Source organism: Homo sapiens, chromosome 10 (genome assembly GCF_000001405.40).
Source record: "Homo sapiens chromosome 10, GRCh38.p14 Primary Assembly".
NCBI lineage: Eukaryota > Metazoa > Chordata > Mammalia > Primates > Hominidae > Homo > Homo sapiens.
This window is the reverse complement of record NC_000010.11, coordinates 115,930,809-115,951,369: the sequence shown is the minus strand read 5'-3', so window position 1 is coordinate 115,951,369 and position 20,561 is coordinate 115,930,809. Positions and strand designations below refer to the sequence as shown.

General features: G+C 37.8%; 1 protein-coding gene across 7 annotated transcripts in view; it reads right to left on the bottom strand.

Annotated features, from left to right (window-relative positions):
• Positions 1-2,370: 2,370 nt before the first annotated feature.
• ATRNL1 (attractin like 1) overlaps positions 2,371-20,561 on the bottom strand; it is an 855,635-nt gene continuing 837,444 nt past the window's right edge. For all 7 annotated transcript variants that reach the window (NM_207303.4, XM_011539587.2, XM_011539588.3 and 4 more), the window contains one exon: positions 2,371-6,712. In NM_207303.4, the coding sequence (NP_997186.1) occupies positions 6,591-6,712 (122 nt within the window). In that variant the 3' untranslated portion in view covers positions 2,371-6,590. The remainder of the gene's footprint in view (positions 6,713-20,561) is intronic.

Genomic DNA, 20,561 nt, shown 5'->3' with positions numbered 1-20,561 from the left:
AACAAGGGAATGAAGATGTGCAAGACCTATTTTATGTTATTTATTTATATTTTAAATATTGGTAGAGGTATGAGAGAACTAGTCTGCCACTGAGGGAATGAGCTGACTAGTCAGCGAAGGGTTAGGAGAGGTGGGTGAAGATGAGAAAGAACATCTAACACAATTTGTTAGTATTTGCTATAAAACTGTCACTTAAAGTTGAGGAAGGTAATTTTAAAAATATGTAATAGATATTGTAAAAAATCTTGAAAAGCACAACTCTAAATCACCAGGCAACACATAGCATTGGTTCCGATTGCAGTTTAATTATTTGGGAACTGTGGCACATAGAAGCACTTTAGTATTACCCCAACAACAATAAAAAATCAAGGAAAAAATCAACGCTCATGATTCACTGAATTTAAACCTGGACCTTTTCATAGTAAAAGGAGAGAACATTTAACTATGATCTACTTATTTCAACAACAACAAAAACTCATCACAAAACCTACATGAGTTAGCATTTTTATCCCCGCTTACTCAGAAATTTAGATAACCGGCCCATGGCATTAAAAAAAAGAAAAAAAAAAACAACTCGGCATTTGAGTTAAAATTCGAGTATTTCTTCACACAGGACCTGTTCTAAGAAAACTTGTATGTCACTGGAAAGAACAAAATTTAAAATATCTTTGGGCAATAGAGGCTATAGAAACACAAAGAATTATAAAAGAATTTGCTCGGTAATGCTATTTTCCTAGGCAGATTTTCTAGAGTGAGATTTCCTGACTGTGCACACAGCCAGGCTAAAGAAACTCATGTTTAAACAACTATCTTCCCTGAGTGAATACCACTCAGGCCAGATACTACTTCTGCCAAAAATAACCAGAAAATGCCACTTCTGCCAAAAATAACCAGAAAATACCACTTCTGCCAAAAGTAACCAGAAAATACCACTTCTGCCAAAAATAACACGGGTTAAAGCTTTTGACGGTGAGAATATAGTGTTTCTGCAATGGTCTTTCAGGGGTTTGGTTTCTTGTTCAATTAAAACTACTCTGCACCCAATCCCTGAAGTGGGAGAAGGTTAGAATGGGGGTGGGGGGTGGGGGGTGTAGTTTACAGAAGCTCATTTAAAATTATACTGTTGTTTCATATTTGGAAAACAAAACAATAGTAGCTATTTTCATAGTAGGGCTGGAGAAGGTAAAGCTTGATAATCTCTTGGCTGCCATGGCCATGCCAGGTACCCTGATTCTAAACAAGCGAGGAAGCATGTAAGAATCTGGAGCAGGAATTGTGTGTTTACCAAAAGGGTTATAGGTTGGAGCTGAAAGAACGCCTATCACGCACATCCGCCACTCACAGGTGATTTCTCTGAGCAAATCCTTTTAGGCCAGAGAAAAGTCAGTTTTAAGCTAAACTTTCCAAATCTCCTTACAGCCACTGATCCACCATCAAAAAGCTGAAAAGGAGAGTGTGCAAGGCTTAGATATTCACAGAGCAGCTGCTGCTGTCTGTGGCGAGAGTCCACCCAACAGCCCTCTACCTACTTTGGGCGCATCTTCATCCAGGACCCTCGAAAAGCTTCTCTTTCTTCTCTGATGTTCCTGGGAGGCGGCAGCCAGGCTGGGCATGTTTCTCAAGGTTCGGTGGTCCTCTTCTTCCCAGCCCCTTCCTGGCCTGGCCTCTTGGAGGTGCGACGGGGAGGAGACCACCATTCCAACCTCTGGAGCACAGGCAGGGCCGGCCTCAGGGTTAGGCCTCAGGTCAGGGTCCTGGAAGAGCCTGCTTGAGGCCCTGAGCCCAGAAGGTATCCCAGGTGCTGGGCCCAGGTGGTGTGGGGGGAGGGGGTTGGAGAGAAGAGAGAAGTTTAGATCCTCCTTGGTTTTCTTCTCGGTGAGACCTTACAGAGGCCTAGCAGAGCAGTGCCACTGAAAGAAGGCTGGGCCCCAGATGGCCACATAAGGACCAAGCCCAGAGCTTACCAGAGAACCTGCAGGCTTTTCCCAGAAGAGTCAGCTATGCCAGAGCTGCCCTGGTCTCAGATAGCTGACTTTTATTCTAAGTAAGAGCAATTTCTATAACACATGTCCTGTGGCGTAGACCCTCATTATAGCTAGATTCTTAGCTGCTGGGCCTTGTGAGTTTTGCCTTTAATTCTCAGGAACATTCCAAGTGCTCAGCAAGCCCCTCACAGAGAACGTACAGGAAAGGTCAATGCAAATCTGGTGAAGAGAAAAAGAGGGGGAAATGTATTTTGAATGTCAAAATTCAATAACAAACTATATAATCACCTCTTCGATGGAGAGGGGCTTTTTCAAGTTCTCAGAGTGCTTTTTCCTGTGTGACCACGAAAGGATAAAACACAAACAAAAACAAAACAAAACTGCATTTGGCAGTGGGGGTTGGAAGAGCCAATGTTTTTATTTAATAAAGTCCTGATTAACAGCATATTATAACATAAAATGTTGGCTTTCTAAAACGGGCTTGAACTTTTACACAATCTTTTGAACACTGGCATGCACACCTGTGTACATATATACTGATAGGAGCTCTGGTTCTAATTCTTAATTTCAAAAAATTTTGATAAAACTAAAATGTTAAATGTACACTCTAATGAAATCACTGCTATAACTAACACCAACCAGATGGCTTGTATTCCTTGGAAAATTCTTTAAAGCATTTTGAATTAGAGTAATAACTTTGTTATTTAGAGAACTCCCTCTAATGGTCGATTAAAGGCAGCACTTTGACCCAATGCAGTGTTTCCCTAATTTGCCTAATGGTAAGAAGCACTGAGGAGCTTGTTAAGAGTACTGCTCTCCAGGGCCTACCCCAGTGTTTCTGAATCTAAATCTCTAGAGGTGAAAGTGGGAATCTGCCTGAACCCAAGCAATTCCTGTAATCAGGTAAGTTTCCAAGCTCACTCTAGTATACGGCAAATGGGTTTTGAAACTCGACATTTAAAAAGACCATAGGTGGGTAGAATTAGTTCATTTGGTCAGTTTTCATTTTACAATCTTTTTTAAATATAAGACACCTTTCAAATCATAGTTTTATGTTCACTGAGAAAAGATGTATCATGTATAACCACAAAATGTAAGCACTGACCCTGTCTTGCCTAGTTTGTACGTGAAAGGTGATCATTGATGCTCTTGTCTCAATGTCATCAGTCAGTAATTTTAAGAAAAACTCTCCTAAAACTATAGATTTAAGAAGAGTTTAAGTCTTTATTGACTAAATGTCAAAGTCGTTTTGTAGAAATCCCTATATCTTAGAAATACAGGAACTTAAGTTATTCAGGGAGTCTTTTTGAAAAACCTGATTGACCTTTACCTACGACCAAAAGATGGATGAAAATTAATAGGTGGATTCATAAAACAACTGGTAGAAAAAGAGTGGCCTGGTGTCCCCACGGTTGTTAATACCAGCTACGCTGCATCAAGGTCCCACTGTGGGAGCTTTCTGTGTGTTACCATCTAGCCTCGCAATGCCTCGAAAGGTGGGCACCATTACCGCCCTTTACAGATGGAAGGCTGAGGCTTCAAAGGTGAAACTTACCCAGCACCACACACCTGAAAGCTGGGTCCAGTGCCCGTTTTCCAGCCTGTGTGCCAGTGTGCACCCTAAATGACCTTATACCATGAACTGTAGCCATACAGTCACCTCTATCTTACTGCAGCTAAAAGAAGATGAGATGTTGGGAAGTACAGCAAGGATCAATTACCTTTTTAAATACGAACTATTTGAAGTTTTCCTACTGAACATAACACTATAGTATACGGCATCTCTGTGTATCACTAAAACAAATTTTCATTTAAAGAATTATGAGAATCCTAATCCTCTTAAAATTTATTAGCTGAATCTGTAAGTATGTGCAAATTCTTTTCCAATAGGAATTTTCTAGTTCAAATAGAATCCCCAGGTTAATTTTTAAAACTCCATTGTATTTAACCATTTTTTTTTCATACTTGGCAGAATAAAACATCCTAAAAATCTAAGGAATTTTTCAAAGTCATTCTAAACTGAAATGTTTAGAATTCCATTAAGGTTAGTTTTCAAGAGGATCAGCCATTTAACTGCGAAATTCTGGGAAAGTATCTGCATATTTGTGTGGTTTGATTTAAAAAAAATGAAAGCATCCAAATTTAAAGTGTCTGGAATGTAGGGGGAAAAACCAACAGATTCAAAGTGATTATCCTTGATCCTTGATGTCTTTTCAATCCACTTCACCTGAGGGCAAAGAATTTACTGCCAGTGAAAAGCTTTGATACGTTGAGAATTAATTGCATAATTAGCCACAGAGTTAGCAATATGTGGCCCAGAAAGGTATAGCATGACTTTAACTAAACATCACATTGTGTCTCATAATTCTCTACAATTTGAATTTTCAAGTTTTAAGAACCCAGTGGGATTTGAGGTGAATAAAACTTGATAATTCTTCCACAGTAATACTATCTGCTTAGCCTCCCTAAAAATATAGCTTATATAGATTTTACATCTAAATCTGTATGTTTTTGTATTTTTATTGTTATGCTTTCTCTTGTGACAATTGTTAGAGAAATACATTGGGCAATCACTTTTTAAAAAATGATTATATCTTTGTAATCATTAGTTTCATCAATTTATTTTTTCATGAGAGAAGTCAATATTTAGAGGGTCCAAAAGAAGCTAATAAAATTACTTGATTGTTTTTAGGAGATATTTACAAACTTAGCTCATTCCTTTAATGAGAGAGAAAATATCACAGGGAAGTAGAAACAACCAGTGGCCTCCCCCTCCAAAAAAACCCCACAGATTATAGATAAAATTACTAAAATTACTCTAAGAATTTGTCTTATTTTTAATGCATGGAAAATAGCAAAATTATCATGCCAACATGAGGAATATATACTATAATTCATAAATGCCTAATTATCAAAATAATGACATAGTCATGGTTAGATGCAACCTAGAAATCTTATATAAGATGCAACTACATATTGTATGATCATTCCTCTTATATATGACATTCAATCCTCATCAAATTCAGCTATGTATAAATGGCATTATGAAATAAACACTTAATATCACAATAGGGTCATAGTCTGCTACTGTACAACCATGGCATGCAAGTAACTATGCATTAGCTGTAAACAGTAAAGTGTCATAACCTTCCAGAAATCCAAAGAATGTGAAAAGTACATATATAGTACTAAACATCAATTGTATTTAAAGGACCTTCATATTTAACAAAGCTATATCATATACAGCAGCTTTGGAGATTTCTGTCACTGTTATACATATCTTGTCACCCTGAAGTGAGGAAACTGCAATTCCAAACTATATCTGTTAATGCTACTGAGCTTTAGTGAACTGTGGTCAGTATTAGGATGTAAATGATTCTGTGTTCTAATGTGAAGTATGTTTTATTTTTCCTTTCTGCCATAATTCAGAATTTTGAGTCACTAAGAGTGTGCTGACTGTGGGCAACCATGGACATATTTTCTAAACCACAGACTTTTTCTCAGGACATGGATGCGCTCGTGTTGGGAAGAAGACTCCTGTTGATGCTTGCCAGCCAGTGCTCTTCTCTACTTGTATTCTAGGTGGAACAGTTGGCAGGAAGGAACTCAGGTCATCTTGAGAGATGTCGCCTCTAAAATACATTTTGTAACATTTGTAAAAGGTAGTTAAAATCTAGCAGCTAGGAGAGGAAGGGCAAAGAAAGATCCATTCTTATAAAAATGCAGATGGATCATTTAGGTCTGATCCAATGATTCTTAGGCAATTAAAAATTATCATACTGGAGCAGAAGCTTGTATGCTGTAAAATAACCATTTCGGCTCTTTTCAGGTTGTGGTATTGGAGGCTGTTTTTGGAAGGAGGGGAACAACTGATCGCTGGACAGACTTTTCCATGCTCTATCAGCTCTGATAACGAGTTAGGTAGTTGGCATGGATGACAGGAATGTCCTCTACACTGAGCATTCTAATAAACCCCCTGTGAAGTTGCACAGAATGAGTTGAACTCATTCTGGTCTGCATTCTAGTTAGGCGGAAAGCTGTCACATTCTCAGACTGAGTTTGGACACGATATGGTCATATGAAATATTTAAATACATTACCTACATCCTACTACATCAAAATCTTGCCTTACCTTTACAACGAGATAAAAGAGCATTTAAAGCCATTGCAATGTGTTCATTCCCTGTTCATACACAGGTGATTCAAGTTTGCTTATGAGGCAAAAACTGTACAATTCTCATCATTCAGGCATTAAAAAATGTCTTTCTTTCAAGTCTTGGGATATAAACAGTTGATTTATATGAATTACATATTTTTCATCTTCATTAAGAAACAATATACATCTTTTTCCAGAGTAATTTAATGTTAGCTATAATAAGCCTAAGATAGTGGTAAAAACTGACTTTATCACCTGTGACCATCAATACTTTTATAAAACTCATGAACATTCTTTGGCCACCTGGGTCATTGTCCATTTGGAAGGAAACTGTACTCAGGCTCTGGATGATACAGAGATCTGCCTCCATAAAATCCAAGGCCATAGAACAGCTTTAACAGAAGCCCGAAGTAAAACAGTACAGAATATACAGGAGCGGTTTCCATTTCTCAGACACAAGTTCCTTGACGTGTTGAAAGGTGTTTTCGATTCCGGACTCCAGAAGTCTTATCTTTACTATCTGAAGCTTTCTGTTGTGAAATATCTATTAGGGCACTGGCAATTGCAAGGCCTGGAAGGAAAGAGAAAAGCATTTAAATGCTTGCTTAGACATTTCTGGGATGGCAACAGTGGTGGTGAAGGGCCCTGCTTTTTATTGCTTTTCATTTAGTCATCACACGTTTGGCTGTTAATGGAAGTTTTCAAGTAGTTTGCCCTTTACCTAAAATGTTTCTTGACTTGGGCATGTGAACTTCACCAAGGAAGAAGAAGAAAGATCTAAGAAAGTTAACTGACTCTGACTTGGAACAATCAAATCAGTGTTTGACAAATGATCACATTTAGTTGTGCATATGACCCTAAACCTTCCTCTCCATGTCTGAACACGAGTTTGCTGTGGAGGTACTAGAAATTTTAAATGTTACTATTTTTTTTTTTTTTTTTTAGGAACAAAACTAGTCATGTTAAGATTTTTAAAAACATTTCAAGCAGTTTTAGATTTACAGAAAAATTGAACCAATATTGAGATAAAATTACCAACTGAAGTCCATAATTTACATTAGGGTTTACTTTTTCTGTTGCATAGTTCCATTGGTTTTGACAAATGCATAATGCAGGGTATCCACCATTACAGTATCATACAAAATAGTTTCACTGCCCTAAAATACCCCCGCACTTCACCAATCTATCCCCCTTTCCCCAAGTCTCTGGCAACCACTGATCTTTCTTTAATGTCTCTGTAGTTCAGCCTTTTCCAGAATGTTGTATGGTTGGAATCACACAGTACGTAGCCTTTCAGACGGTCTCCTTTCACTTAGAAATATGTATTTAACGTACCTCCATCTCTTTTTTTCTTTTTGGCTTGATAACTCGTTTCCTTTTATTGCTGAATTATATTCCATTGTGCGGATGTGCCATAGTTTGTTTACGCATTCACTACTGAAGGACATCTTGATTGTCCTTGCTTCCAATTTTTGGTAATTGTGAATAAAGCTGTTAAAAACATCTGTGTGCAGGTTTTTATGTGAACATAACATTTCAATTCATAAGTACCTAGGAGCCTGATTGCTGGATAATATGGTAAGCTTATGTTTTAGTTTAGTTAAAAAAAAAAAAAGCCAAACTGTATTTCACAGTGGCTGTGCCATTTTGTATTTCCACCAGCAATGAATGAGAGTTCTTGTTGCTTCACAACCTCACCAGCATTTGTTGTTGTCAGTGTTTTAGGTGTTAGCCATTCTAATAGGTGTGTGGCAGTATCTTGCAGTTGTTTAAATTTGCAATTCTCTAATGACATATGATGCTGAGCACCTCTTGATATACTTCTTTGCCACATGTATACCTTCTTTAGTGAGGTGTCTGTTCAGATATTTTGCCTGTTTTTAATTGGGTTGTTTGTTGTCTTACTGTTGAGTTTTAAGAGTTCTTTGAAGATTTTGGATATCAGTTCTTTATCAGATATGTGTTTTGTAAATATTTTTTTCCCAGTCTATGGCTTGACTTTTCATTCTCATAAACTGTTTTAAAAATTACAAAAGCACTCCATGGATAGAGTTATGCTATGTACAAATGGACATGGAAGAAAGACCACTTGACATTTAGCTGACAAGCGTCTTAAGTACTAGAAAAGGACCTTGAGTATTATTGACCGAATGTGACCACAAATGCGGAGCTGTAGCTATCATAGGTAATTTAAGAAGCATATTGTTTAATTATGTTGATCTGCTTTGTTACATTGTTTGTCCAATGATGGACAGGAACACTTGGTAAGATGCTCAGGGATAGTAAAGATTTCATTAAATTTATAGGAGCCATGGCTCAACCAGATAATTTGGCTTATCATAGCTACATATGAGTCATTTTCATATCTGTTGAGTCCCATATAACTCTTGAGTAAAACCAAATGTATCAAATCACCATACTAAACCATGAGGCCAGATTGGCCTTGCTTAAGAAAAGGCCACAAAAGGACTTTTGGCTCATTTTCCTTTCTACAAGGTCTTGAAGACTTGACTTTGAATTGAGCTGACCTCTTCTCCACATGTTGCTCTTAGAGGAAGATCATTTTCAGATCTTATCCTACGTAGAATATCATTATTTTATTCCTGTGGGTCAGTTAATTCTGGGTAAGCTTCACATATTTCCTGGCAGGAACTGAATTCAGAGATTTATGGACAGAAAGAAATGACAGTAAAGGGATGTGAGCACTGTAAGAGGAAAGCAAACTAGCCTAGTGCAGTGTTGCGGGAGTCAAGGGAGGGCCAAGCCCAAGGAGTCTGTAAAAAGTGGCAAATGGGCCAGCAGGGTAAGGCCTGTGGCAAAGGCCATTAGACTTCCTCCAAGAAGATTCTGATGATCTTTGAGTCATTTCGGTATCTAACTGAGGATGGAAGCCTGAAAGTTAAACAACGAATGGAGTGACAGGAAGTACGGCCAGCAGACATAAGTTCCATGTTTAAGATGTTTAGCAATGGGAAGAGATAAGGAAGCTTATCTACATAACAGAATTAGCAGGGTCAGATGGAATTTATGTGGATGCATGGAATTATGTAAGTGCATTATTTAAAGGAAAAGGGAGCCTTGGATACATTTGAAAACAGAAGAGATTTGTGGAGAAGGAGAAATTTATGGTGTTAGCAAGGAAAGAAATTACAAAATTATAATAAGCTCTGGCTAAGCTGATAAATTTACAGATTTACCTTTTAAGGGTTGCTCTTAAGTAATTTGCTCTTTCAGGATATTAAATATCATCCTGAATGTTTTAGAGTTATTACAAGTTCAAAGTTTACATAAAAGCTGTTTTCTTGACCTTTGAAGAGCACGTGGGAACTTCTGAAGAGTCCAACATAGATGTTTTAAACACTTATTCTGCAGTAGTAAATAATTATTTCATTATTTGTTTAATTAATGGAGCTGAAGGACCTTGTTATTATTTTTAAAATTGCAGATTTTGGTGGTGCTAACTAAAAGTTCAAGCTGACTGTAAGTTTCCACTGATCTTCTGGCATACTTCTGTCATTATTTACAACTTCCTGCTATTTTATTCCTGGCACCAACTAATCCAGAGACAGCCAAATATGACAAATAATACATGTCTCCTTTAATGTGGACAGAGACCACTTACACTAATTTCAATGATCACAACATCCAAATATGAAATCATGTTATTCATTAAACTACTGCATGATGTAGTCCAAAGAAGCTCTGAAAAAATAATACTTTCCATTTACATGTGAATGCAAATGTTTTCATTACAGAAGATATAGCATCGGGAGAGGAGTAAGCAGCTTGAGTTGCCAAAACAGGAAATTCTACGCTAATCCAAAACTGCCACTGTATCGCTGTATTTCATGAAGTCCAGAACCTAACTGAAGCAATGTCTCTGACAACATGTCCTGGGTTTACTAATGATTCTGAAACTTGGAAACACATTCAGTTGAAAATCATAAATATTTCAGTTCTTAATTTACAAATAAAATTGCAAATCATGCTTATTTTTAATTTGACAGCTTTTTGTCATTTCTTATTAAAATGTAACAATCAACTGCATTTTCAGATCTGCATAAATGGCAATGTGTATGTAGAAAGGCTTGCACTTCTCTAGGCAGAGATATTTAAGTGTTCGCCGTGGTGCACTCACAGAGAACACTCAGGGCCATTTGCCCAAAGTCTTATCTGCCCATTTGATGGGCCAAACAATGTTTCATTTGGCTTAGGTCCTTTACTGGACCCCACGGCTTGTGGCCCATCATGAGTTATTCTTCTTTATAAACCTTGTAGTTTAATTATGAACAGGATAATAATCATAATAACTGCATTTATATGTGTGTGTGCCTTAAATATCAAGTTATTACTACTTTTGCATTTCTTCATGTTAAATATAAGGTGAACCTTAAAAACATCAGAAGTTGCTACGTTCTCTTTCAACCTACAAGAGAACCTAGATACAAGAATGAAAAAAAGAGACAAAGCCCCTATCTTATTGAATTCGATAGTGTGTATGGAAGACTCACTAAAAGAGAGAGAGAGAGAAGAGAGAGAGAGAGAGAGAGAGAGAGTAATCTCTGTCATTGCCTTTCAGCACACTTTGTTATTGTAAGGAATCTAATTTTCTTAACTGATGAAAAGAGAAGCCAAGTCAATAGCTTTTTTAAAAAGACTGTATTACCTCCCCCGTCCCCTAAATGTAGCAGTTATATTCTGGTAAGATACTGAACATGTAGATAATGCCCAGACCATGTATAAATAGAATTCTGACCCACAACTTGTGGCAACGTGCTCAGGAAACCGAGCTATAATCTGCAATAACCAGCCCAGGAAGCCAGCCTGCTATGTCAGACTTGTAAGAAGTCAGACTGCTATCTCTACTAATAACCCATGAAGTTAAACTGTAATCCCTGTCACGACTGGCCCCAAATGGCCAGGACTTGATTAATAAACAGCTTCCCTAATTTATGTCCTCACTTCCAGCCAGAGGAAACCAAATATGTACCCCTAACCACATAGGATGCCCCACTTCTAGTTAGTCTGTCTACAGCTCCCACAAGCTAACGGCCTCTCATCAGGGCACACCTGAAGCTTCCCTTTTTTCACTATAAAGATTTCCCATTCCTGCCTGTCCTTGAGTCTCCGCCAAAACACAAGTGAAAGTGGCTGACTCCCTTGCTATAGCAAGCTCAGAATACATAGCTTTTGCTTATTTTCATTTGCTTGGTCTTGGTTTATTTTCACGCTGGCAACAAAGACATAAAGGTCGTTTGCGATCTTTTCTGGGTTTTAAAAAAGGTATGTATCAATAAAAGAAAAGCAACCTAGAAATAGGTTCTTTGTGTTGCCATTTTTGGCACACACTTTCTCATGACTTTCCTGAGAATTTTTCCTGGTGAGAGGTCTTCTGGGGATGATCCCGCACTTCTTGTGCCATAGGAGGAAGTGCTTCCTCCTAGTTGGATGCTGGGCCCATGCTGCACGCCGCTAGAGTTCCATTAAAATCAGGTCACTCCAGAAGATCATTTTTCAAGACGTCACACAAATCATCTGATGAAATTCACTTATTGTGTTCTCTAGGCCTAGCATAGTTCCTTGTTATCAAAGCAATACAATTAACTGGGGGAACAATTCATTATTTTAGACTGATGGTCCAAAGGAATTTCATTTACCACGTAAAGATGATGCACAGATGCTGCAGGCTAGCAGGATTTACATAAAAATATACCAGTAGATTCAACAAAAATGCTGGGGTTTCAATAGTTATTATAAGCTTTACCTTTTTGTACTTTTAGTTCTTAAACACCAGACACTATGACATTTAGATTATTTAAATAGGAAGTATAAACCGCATAGGAAGGAACATACCATCCTCTGTTTCCTGTTCAATTTTCCATGGTCTCTTGGTGTTTTCAAACTGGTCCTTGCTAACAGAGAGCAGGCCCAGTGGCTGCTCTGGTTCACCTAGGGCAGGACAAGCCCTAAAGGAAACAGGCTCCTTTGAGACCATAGGAAATTCCCTCAGAAAATGGGCACGACTCAGTGGTCCCTGGGCTGGAGGCCAAGAGTTACCACAGCTATTTTTAAAGCTTATTTTTAATTGACAAATAACTGTGGATATTTATGAGATACAATGTGGTGTTTTGACCTATGTATACATTGTGGAAAGAGTCAATCAAGCTAATTAACATATCCATCACCTCTCCAACTTACCATCTTTTTTTGTGGTGAGAATGTTAAAAATCTATTCTTTTAGTTGTTTTGAAATATATAATACATTATTATTAACTGTGGTCACCATGTAGTGCAATAGATCATTAAAACTTATTCCTCCAGTCTAACTGAAACTTTGTACCCTTAGATCAAAACCTTCCCTTTCCCCATCCCTCCCCCTTCCCCTAGCCTCTGGTAATCAGCTTTCAACTCTCAATTTCTGAGATCACCTTTTTTAGATTCTACATATAAGTGAAGTCATACAGTATTTGTCTTTCTGTGCCTGGCTTATTTCACTTAACATAATATGCTCCAGTTCCATTCATGTGTTGCAAATGACTGAATTTCCTTCTTTTTAAGGCTGTATAATATTCCATTGTTTATAAAGACCACATTCTCTTTATTGATTTTTCCCTTTATCCGTTGATGGACACATAGCTGCTTCTATATCTTGACTATTGTGAATAATGCTGAAATGAATGTGGGAGTACCCCACAGCTATTTTGTAAATAAGTAGAACATACACCAAAATCAGACCTTCACCTGCAACCTTAGAAAAAAACAATATATGCCTCCTGAAATTTAAGAATTTTATTTCTCTTGAAACATGTGAAAACATGACCTGAAGAGACAGCAATGTAAATAACAGCTAAATAATTAAATGGTAAACATGTCTTTTTAAACCACTAAATTTGCAATGAAAACCACCAAGGAGAAACATCAGGAATTTAGTTATTGTTAGCAAAACTCTAGTTTTCCCTAATGGAAGTGAAATGGTAATAGCAGACTTCAGCAGTAACAATCTAATCATAAAATTACTGATGTGTGTTTTTTACAATTATGCAGAACAATTAATAAGTACAGTAATAAAATACTGCACATCAAATGAAATTGCCTTGGAAAGAACATTCCCGCTTTATATACAAACATAGCACTTCCATTTTACATTTGAACAAAAGCCTCAGAAAAGTCATTCACTTTGAAATGCTCTCCTCTGAAGTCTGTGTAAAAGCAGGCACCATTATATATTTTAATTTTCCAGGAAAACAGCTTCATTAGGTGTGAAAGGTTAATTGTAGGTTTAAGTGGAGTTCAGGGAACGGTGCCAGGTCTGTAGTGAATTGCACAGTCTGCTTCAGGACGACTGAATGAGTGCTGTAAACTGTTTGCCCTGCCGAAATGTTTTACTACCTCATTTACTATCTGTCTTCTTTTACTGCTGTATTTGTAGTTCTTTTAAACCTTTAATGGCTACAGTTTTATTTCACTGTAATCAGATTTAAATGGAAATACCATGCTGGGATGTTTAAATGTTTTTCCTCTGATCGTATATAGCTACATACTACTGATCAAAGTCTTGGCTATCCTTCACATGATTAAGAAAGTGACTTTGGGAAACTTTGATGTTACATAGACTCTAACTATTGTGCAGACTTAATTTAACATTCGGTGTGGCCACCCTCGCCAATATGCAACTAAGGCTCGATGCATAATTAGAAAATATGCATTTCCATTTTAATTTATCTGTTGGAAGGCCAGCACAAGTGAAGTCATTATTAGGCAAAACTCCAAAGGTTACATTGTTGAACAAAAATGGAAAAACTTCAAGTGCCGAAGACACTGGAATGACAAATGCACTAGTCATACTTGTCTGATCATTTGAAGAGATATTTCCCCTCACCTACTAAAAACCAGTGACAACTACAGATGCCAATGTTTCAGTGCAAATGATCATTGTATTCTGGTTATAAAATTTTGCCTGGCCTTTAACATATCATAATATTTTACAATTTCATTTAGAGACACACTGCTCAAGTTATAGAAAATGTTATCCTACTCCAGCACCACAGACACCTCACGCAACACTTTCTATAACATAGCTGAGCACTCCCTGACTTTCATACGAATTGTTCTCTCATTGGGTAGAATGTGCTGAATAAATCATGACTGTCTCAAATCATTGTTTTTAATGCAAATCCTCACGGTTCTTGGCAAGTGATCTCATCAGTTCTATTTTTAATTACATACTCAAAAACTTTACTTGGTTTATTTAAAATATTTTGTTGCCACTGATTTCGGAGACACAAACACTTACCAGAATCAGACTTGCAGCTACCTTTCCAGATTGTTAAGTAAATTTGGAACTCAAATGGAAATTCCTTCTTTCTAAGCCAACTGGAGAAATATTTTCTAGTATTTTCTTCTTTCAATTAAAAAAACCCCCAACAATTCTGATACTTGACAATCCTTATTAGAAACCCTAGTCATTCTTAATTTAAATGCTTACTGCTCATTGAAGAAATGGAACAATGGTAGTATTGTAATAATGGCTGTATTTTATTTTTCATTTGGTAGAGACATTGTATTTCAGTATTTCTAGTGGAAAAATGTCACTGACTGCCTTAAGTGAGGTTATGTATGTGAAAGTGTTTTATAAACTATAATGTATTATATAAATTTAGTTAATAATTTCAATAATAATCTGTTACTACCAATAAGAAATCACCGTCAAACTATAGATGCTCAGAAAACTCCAAAGCCTTGATAATTAAAAAATCATTTGAGAAGCAAATAACTTCACTCAACAAGTGTTTCTTGAGCGCCTACTATATGCCAGGCACTGCTTTAGTCCCCAAGGATTTAGCAGTGAACAAAACTGATGATATATGAAAGATTCTGTACCTCATGGAGTTTACGTTTTAGTGGATCTAGCACACGAATTCTTTTGACCAAGTCATCGTGAGGATTAAATGTAAAGGGCTTAAAAAACGCCTGGTATATAAGAGTTCAAAAATGTCAGTCTTCATCATCATCACCGTCATCCTCATTAACATCAAGTGAGAAGCTTGAAGTCAAATAGGAAATAGTAGACAAAACTCTGGGCACGCAAAGATTTTGCCTGTATCTGCAAAAGCATTCATTCATGCAAAAATCAGTATGTCTACCATGGGTTGAAATGCCGTGTAAGGAAACAATTATTAGAAAGATAGATTCAAAGACAAACAGACAATGTCAATTTAGAGCAACATCATCAGTGAGGGGATTCTGTGTGCAGTCCTCAAAGCAGAATTTATGTGATGCCTGGGATGATGAAATTGAGAATTTGCCCATGAGGAAACACATGACTTACATGTGTTGTCCACTCACTAGGAAATGCAAAAATAACCGAAAGTGATAATGGCAAAATAGAGGAATGACAATATTCAACAGAGAAAGCATTGTTTATACTAATATTGCCTATGTCATTGGAAATACTACTAATAATTGACTTTTATCATTTTCAGAGTTACAAAATGCTTTTACATTCATTATCTAGGTTGTTTCTCAAAACTATTCTGTTGAAGTGGGTCAGGAAGCTATTTTTGTCCTGATGTCACAGATGGCCAAAATGAGGCACGGAGCGGTTAAATGACTAGTTTATGCCCACACAGCTGGTGACAGTGGTGGCACCTGAACCCACGACTCCAGATCCCTTGACCTTCACTCCGCTCATTTGCAGCCATAAGAAGGAAGCCGCTACTTTGGTGCAAATGTCTCCCATATGATTGTGAACCAGAAGAAAAAGAAAAACAAAACTTAGTAGAGATGTGAAATCAGCTATGGTCAAAAATATTGAGTAATTGCTGATAGTAATAAAAGCAATAATGATAATAATACAAAAAAACTATGATTGATTCTGTTAACATCAACTGAATGCTTACAATAAGCCAGGCATTACCCTCAGCTCTACATATGCATCATTTTATCAGGATATGCAGTTAGGAGTGGATGACAATACAGGTTAAATTGAGAAACATGTATTGAGGGCATGTTGCAGGCAGTGTTGTAGCTGGCTGTTCTCAAAGAACATCAAACTAGGGCAAAGATTCAAGAGCTCCTAGATTTGCTAACAATTGTGCAGATGCCAACTCTATGAAGCAGGCAGAAGCCATGAGGAAAAGAAAGATAGAGGCGTGATCTCTAAGGGGAATGTGGAGGTTGAAGATTCCCAAGAGAGATGATCTCTGAACTGAGATTTGAATGATGAAGAGGAAGAAGTACACTGGCAGGAGGGGTGTGGTGTGTTCTGGATACTGGAAACTACAAAATCAGCAGCATGGAGGGAAGGGATATTTGAGAAACTTCAGGACATACATTGTAAATGGAACAATGGGAGAATGGTAAGAGAGAATACAGGAGGTCAGCAGCAAAGGGTCCATAAAGTGGCCTTAGGTGTTACACTAGGACTTTGATTTTTAATCTGCAAGGCAGAAAGAGCCATGGAAGGATTTTAAGGAGTAGAGAGGCATAATCAGATTTTTATTTCAAAGAGACACCTCTAGTGTAGCATGGAGGACAGACTGGAGTAGGGGGTGAGGCTACTATTATTGAAACCAGATAAGAATGTGGCAATAAGGAGAGATAAACGGGATGGACAGGATAGATATTTAGGAGAGAGTAGTATGGGAGATAAAATAGGGCACTCTTGAGTACCTGGGTGCATACAATTGGTATTCACAAGCATATGATGGAACAGGAATGGCCAGGGTGTGTGGGAAAGCAGTGGATCATTTGTCTGGCTTCAGACATAGTGAATTTGGTGACCTGCAGGTCATTATAGTGGACCTGTCTACTTGGATATGCAGTTGTGAAACTCAGGAATAAAGTCTATGCCAGAGATGCAGAATTGGGAGTAATTAGCATAGATGGAATCTGAAGATTTTATAATTATATAGGTGGGGAATGTTAGCTGTTGCAATAGTTAAAGCCTGAAATCTCAAGGGTTTAACAAAATCGAAGTTTGTTTCTCACTATGTAAAGTGTTCCTGATTGGTGGCAGGCTGTCTGGAAGGGGATGGAGAGGAACACAGCTTAGCTCTGGTCTATGGCATTATTTAGGGCCTCAGACCGATGACACTTCTGTCATCTTCAATCCAGGGCATCCACCATTGCCTTGAGCATTGGCATCTAGATGGTAGGCAGAAGATGAGCAGGTGGAAAAGGTACCTCCACTCTAAAACACTTTGTTCCCATGCCATTAGCAAGTACAGCTGCCGGGCAACACCTCTCCACTACTCAGCTGGGGCTGGGGTGTGTGTGCAAATCTTCGGTGGAAAACTAGCACTCTGCCATTAGAGTGGATGAGGCTTCCCTGGTAAAAAGAACAGAGTAAGAAAGGGAGAAGACCCAGAGGAGGGCTGATGGTGGGGAACACAGGAAAATGAAGAGAGGTAGGAGAAACCAGGAATGAGATTGTCCACAGGCTCTGTAACACTGGTCAGTAGCTAGTTATAACCTGTGGATCCTGTTTCTGTTTGCAGCAAAAGTCCCAAAATTCCATGGCAACTGTAAGCCAGCTGAGTTTGTGGCTTCCAAGTTGTTCTTGACTTGAAATTCAGCATGTCTCTTGAGAAATTTCTCTTGGAAAGCAGTTGGAGTAGGTGGCTGCTAATGTCACTTCTGGTTCTATGAATTCATGACTGCAGCTGCCTTTCTTCATCAGGCCATGGGCAAAGACCTGGACATCCCTGCTGGCTTCCCCTCCATGTGTGCTTGTGGGCGGCAGCAGAGTGGGCTGCCACAGCATCGCTGTGAAGTCAGGGGACTGGATGGGCTCAAGGACTCCCTTGCTAGAAATGTGCATTTGGTCTTGTTAGTTGATGACTTGAGAAGGACTGGACATGCTTCTACAAGAGTGAGAACTGCACTGGTAGTACCAGCTATGGTTTGTATTTATGGTTAGGTGTGTGGTTTCTATGATGCCAAAAACACTAGTGAAGAAGCTGACTCTAAGTTTCACATTACAAGAGTAAAGAGACTGGGCAATGTCAAACACCTGGCTGGGACTTGATCTTGTGTCTAGCAATCTCTGAACAGCCTGGTTGTTTGTTTGTTTTAAAATTTACTTTTCTAATTGGAAGTCCCACCATAAGCATAACTCAGTTCCTGAAGGAATTGCTTGCCAAAGGGAAGAATCTGTTCACCTTTCATATGAGTTCTGATCTCTCTCAAGGGATCTGAGCAAAGTTAGAGCTAACAGGAATGTGTTTTTGTTTGTTTTTTAAAGCTCAGATACCTGTTTACAAGAAATTATCTTACCGTTTTAAGTCAAGGCTAAAGTGTTGGGTAGTGATGCACATAATAATTTTCCATAGTATTTATGTGAGGGTATAGGAAAGTATAGGAGACAGATACAAGGCTTATAATATTACATAGCACAGATATACCACAATGAATATTAAAAGACAAGCTATCAACTAGAAAAAAATGAATTTTTGTATTTTTCAAAGTGATATTTCTGCTCTCTTAAGTTCCTAGCAGTCAATATTTTTAAAAGTTTGGCATTAAAATAAATAGAAAATATACAATGATCTCTGCAAAGTCAAAATATTGTTTTAACAAACTCCATTGGTAGAACAAATTTATGACTTCCATATAAAACTAGATCATGGCAAAATGGGAGAAAAACACTAGAAAAAATTATGCAAACACTCACTTCTAGCCATTTAGATAAAATGGAAGGGAAAATGGTGTAGAGAATCATGATTTTTTTCTATTAATATTATTCTAAATTGCTTAGACCTTACTGAAAGTTATTACAGATAATGTAATGGCCAAAGGCATTTTAACGAAAACAGGTATGTCTGTAACCAAATTTATCCTTGATAAATCTCCTTTGCTGAAGGAAAAAGCAGTAGAGTTGGACAGTACATTTCTCAAAACAGACTTGAAACCTTTCCTCTGATGTTTGCTAAGTGATCCAGGACCCTGATAGTACACATTCTCTCCAGTAATTCAAAACAGGGACTTTTGGAAAGTCGTTTGATTAAATGACCTCCTTTAATCTAACAGAGGATTCTCTGAAGCAATTTTGAGAATCTGACTGAGTATATCCCATAAATGCTGGCCCTTTTGAGTGAAAAAAGTATCATGGTGCCCCATTTTGCCTTTGGGAGCAATCAAAGTGGCCTCCAAGCTACTATAGATTGAGAAGTGTCAGAAAGAGTCAGCACTAGTGGGGACCTTTCAAACTCCACAGGCAGGTAAATCAGAGAGAGAACAGACTTCAGAGTGATCTGGAATTTTCTGATGTTATATCCAGGGGGGTAAACACTGCCCTGCATCCACTCCATGGTATTTTTCAGATACAAAGAGAATTCTCATAGACCGGTTCCACAATCCCTGCCGACATGTTTCCTAGATCATTTGACGTGTGTATCTGCAGAAGGGGCCCCTTGTTAACCACAGGTTCCTCACAGGATGGCAACGTGATGGGTTAAGGGATGGATGGAGATAGAAACTATTAGCACATGTCATTACAGAATGTCATTTGCGGGGAGAGATGGAAAACTTTGTTTTCTTCGTTAGGCATATTCACTTTGGATGCTGTCTACTTACTTTCAGTAAGTGCCTTAGCTGGCATGAAGATGAAAAAAACTTGCTTTCAGGTCAATAAAGGGAATCTCTGATGATCAATGGCTGATTAAAGCAAGATCTTCTGAGCAGTAGGCTCTGGGCTGTGTTCTGTAAAGAGTTTTCAAATTAATCTTCCTCTGAGGTCTGGGCAAGGGGCCAGTTCACCATCCAGCTGTCTCTGACTTTCAGCCCAATGGTACATGAGTTCCCATAATTAGAGTAATCATTTTATTTTTAAATAAAGAAAAGAAACTTATAATATCATTATACTTTAGAGGCATTAAATCTAAGAAAGTGCAGTGCAGCAGAAGTACGGTACTATCAGGTTTCAAAAAGTATAATTTAATCAGATTTAGTTTCGTAGTCTCTTAATCCGAAATCCTAAATTAAATTACTTAGTTTAGTAATTTGGGATTACTAAAATTGGAGAAATACAGATTACAATTTTTATTTGCAAATATATTTATCATTTTCCCTAAAGCAATGTAAAAGCAAATCTTGAAAAGACAAATATATGGCTTATAATCAACCTGGATATTCACCCCTTCCCGCTCCCTTAGTAAAAGGCTGTAAGACTATGTTTTTAAAGCATTTGACAAATTGGGATCCTAATTATCAGAACAAAAGCAAATCCTGTATGAATAACTGCATATTTTAATTAATTATATTTTGTCCCTATTTCCCTATTTCACTTTCAGGAGTTGGAAATAGCAGACCAGTTGTTTTTCTTTGTTTGTTCAAGTGCTAACTGAGAGAAGATGGAGAAGTAAAAATACTGACCCTGAGCCAGTGAGCCTCAGTGCCAAAGGGCTACCCATTATTTCTAG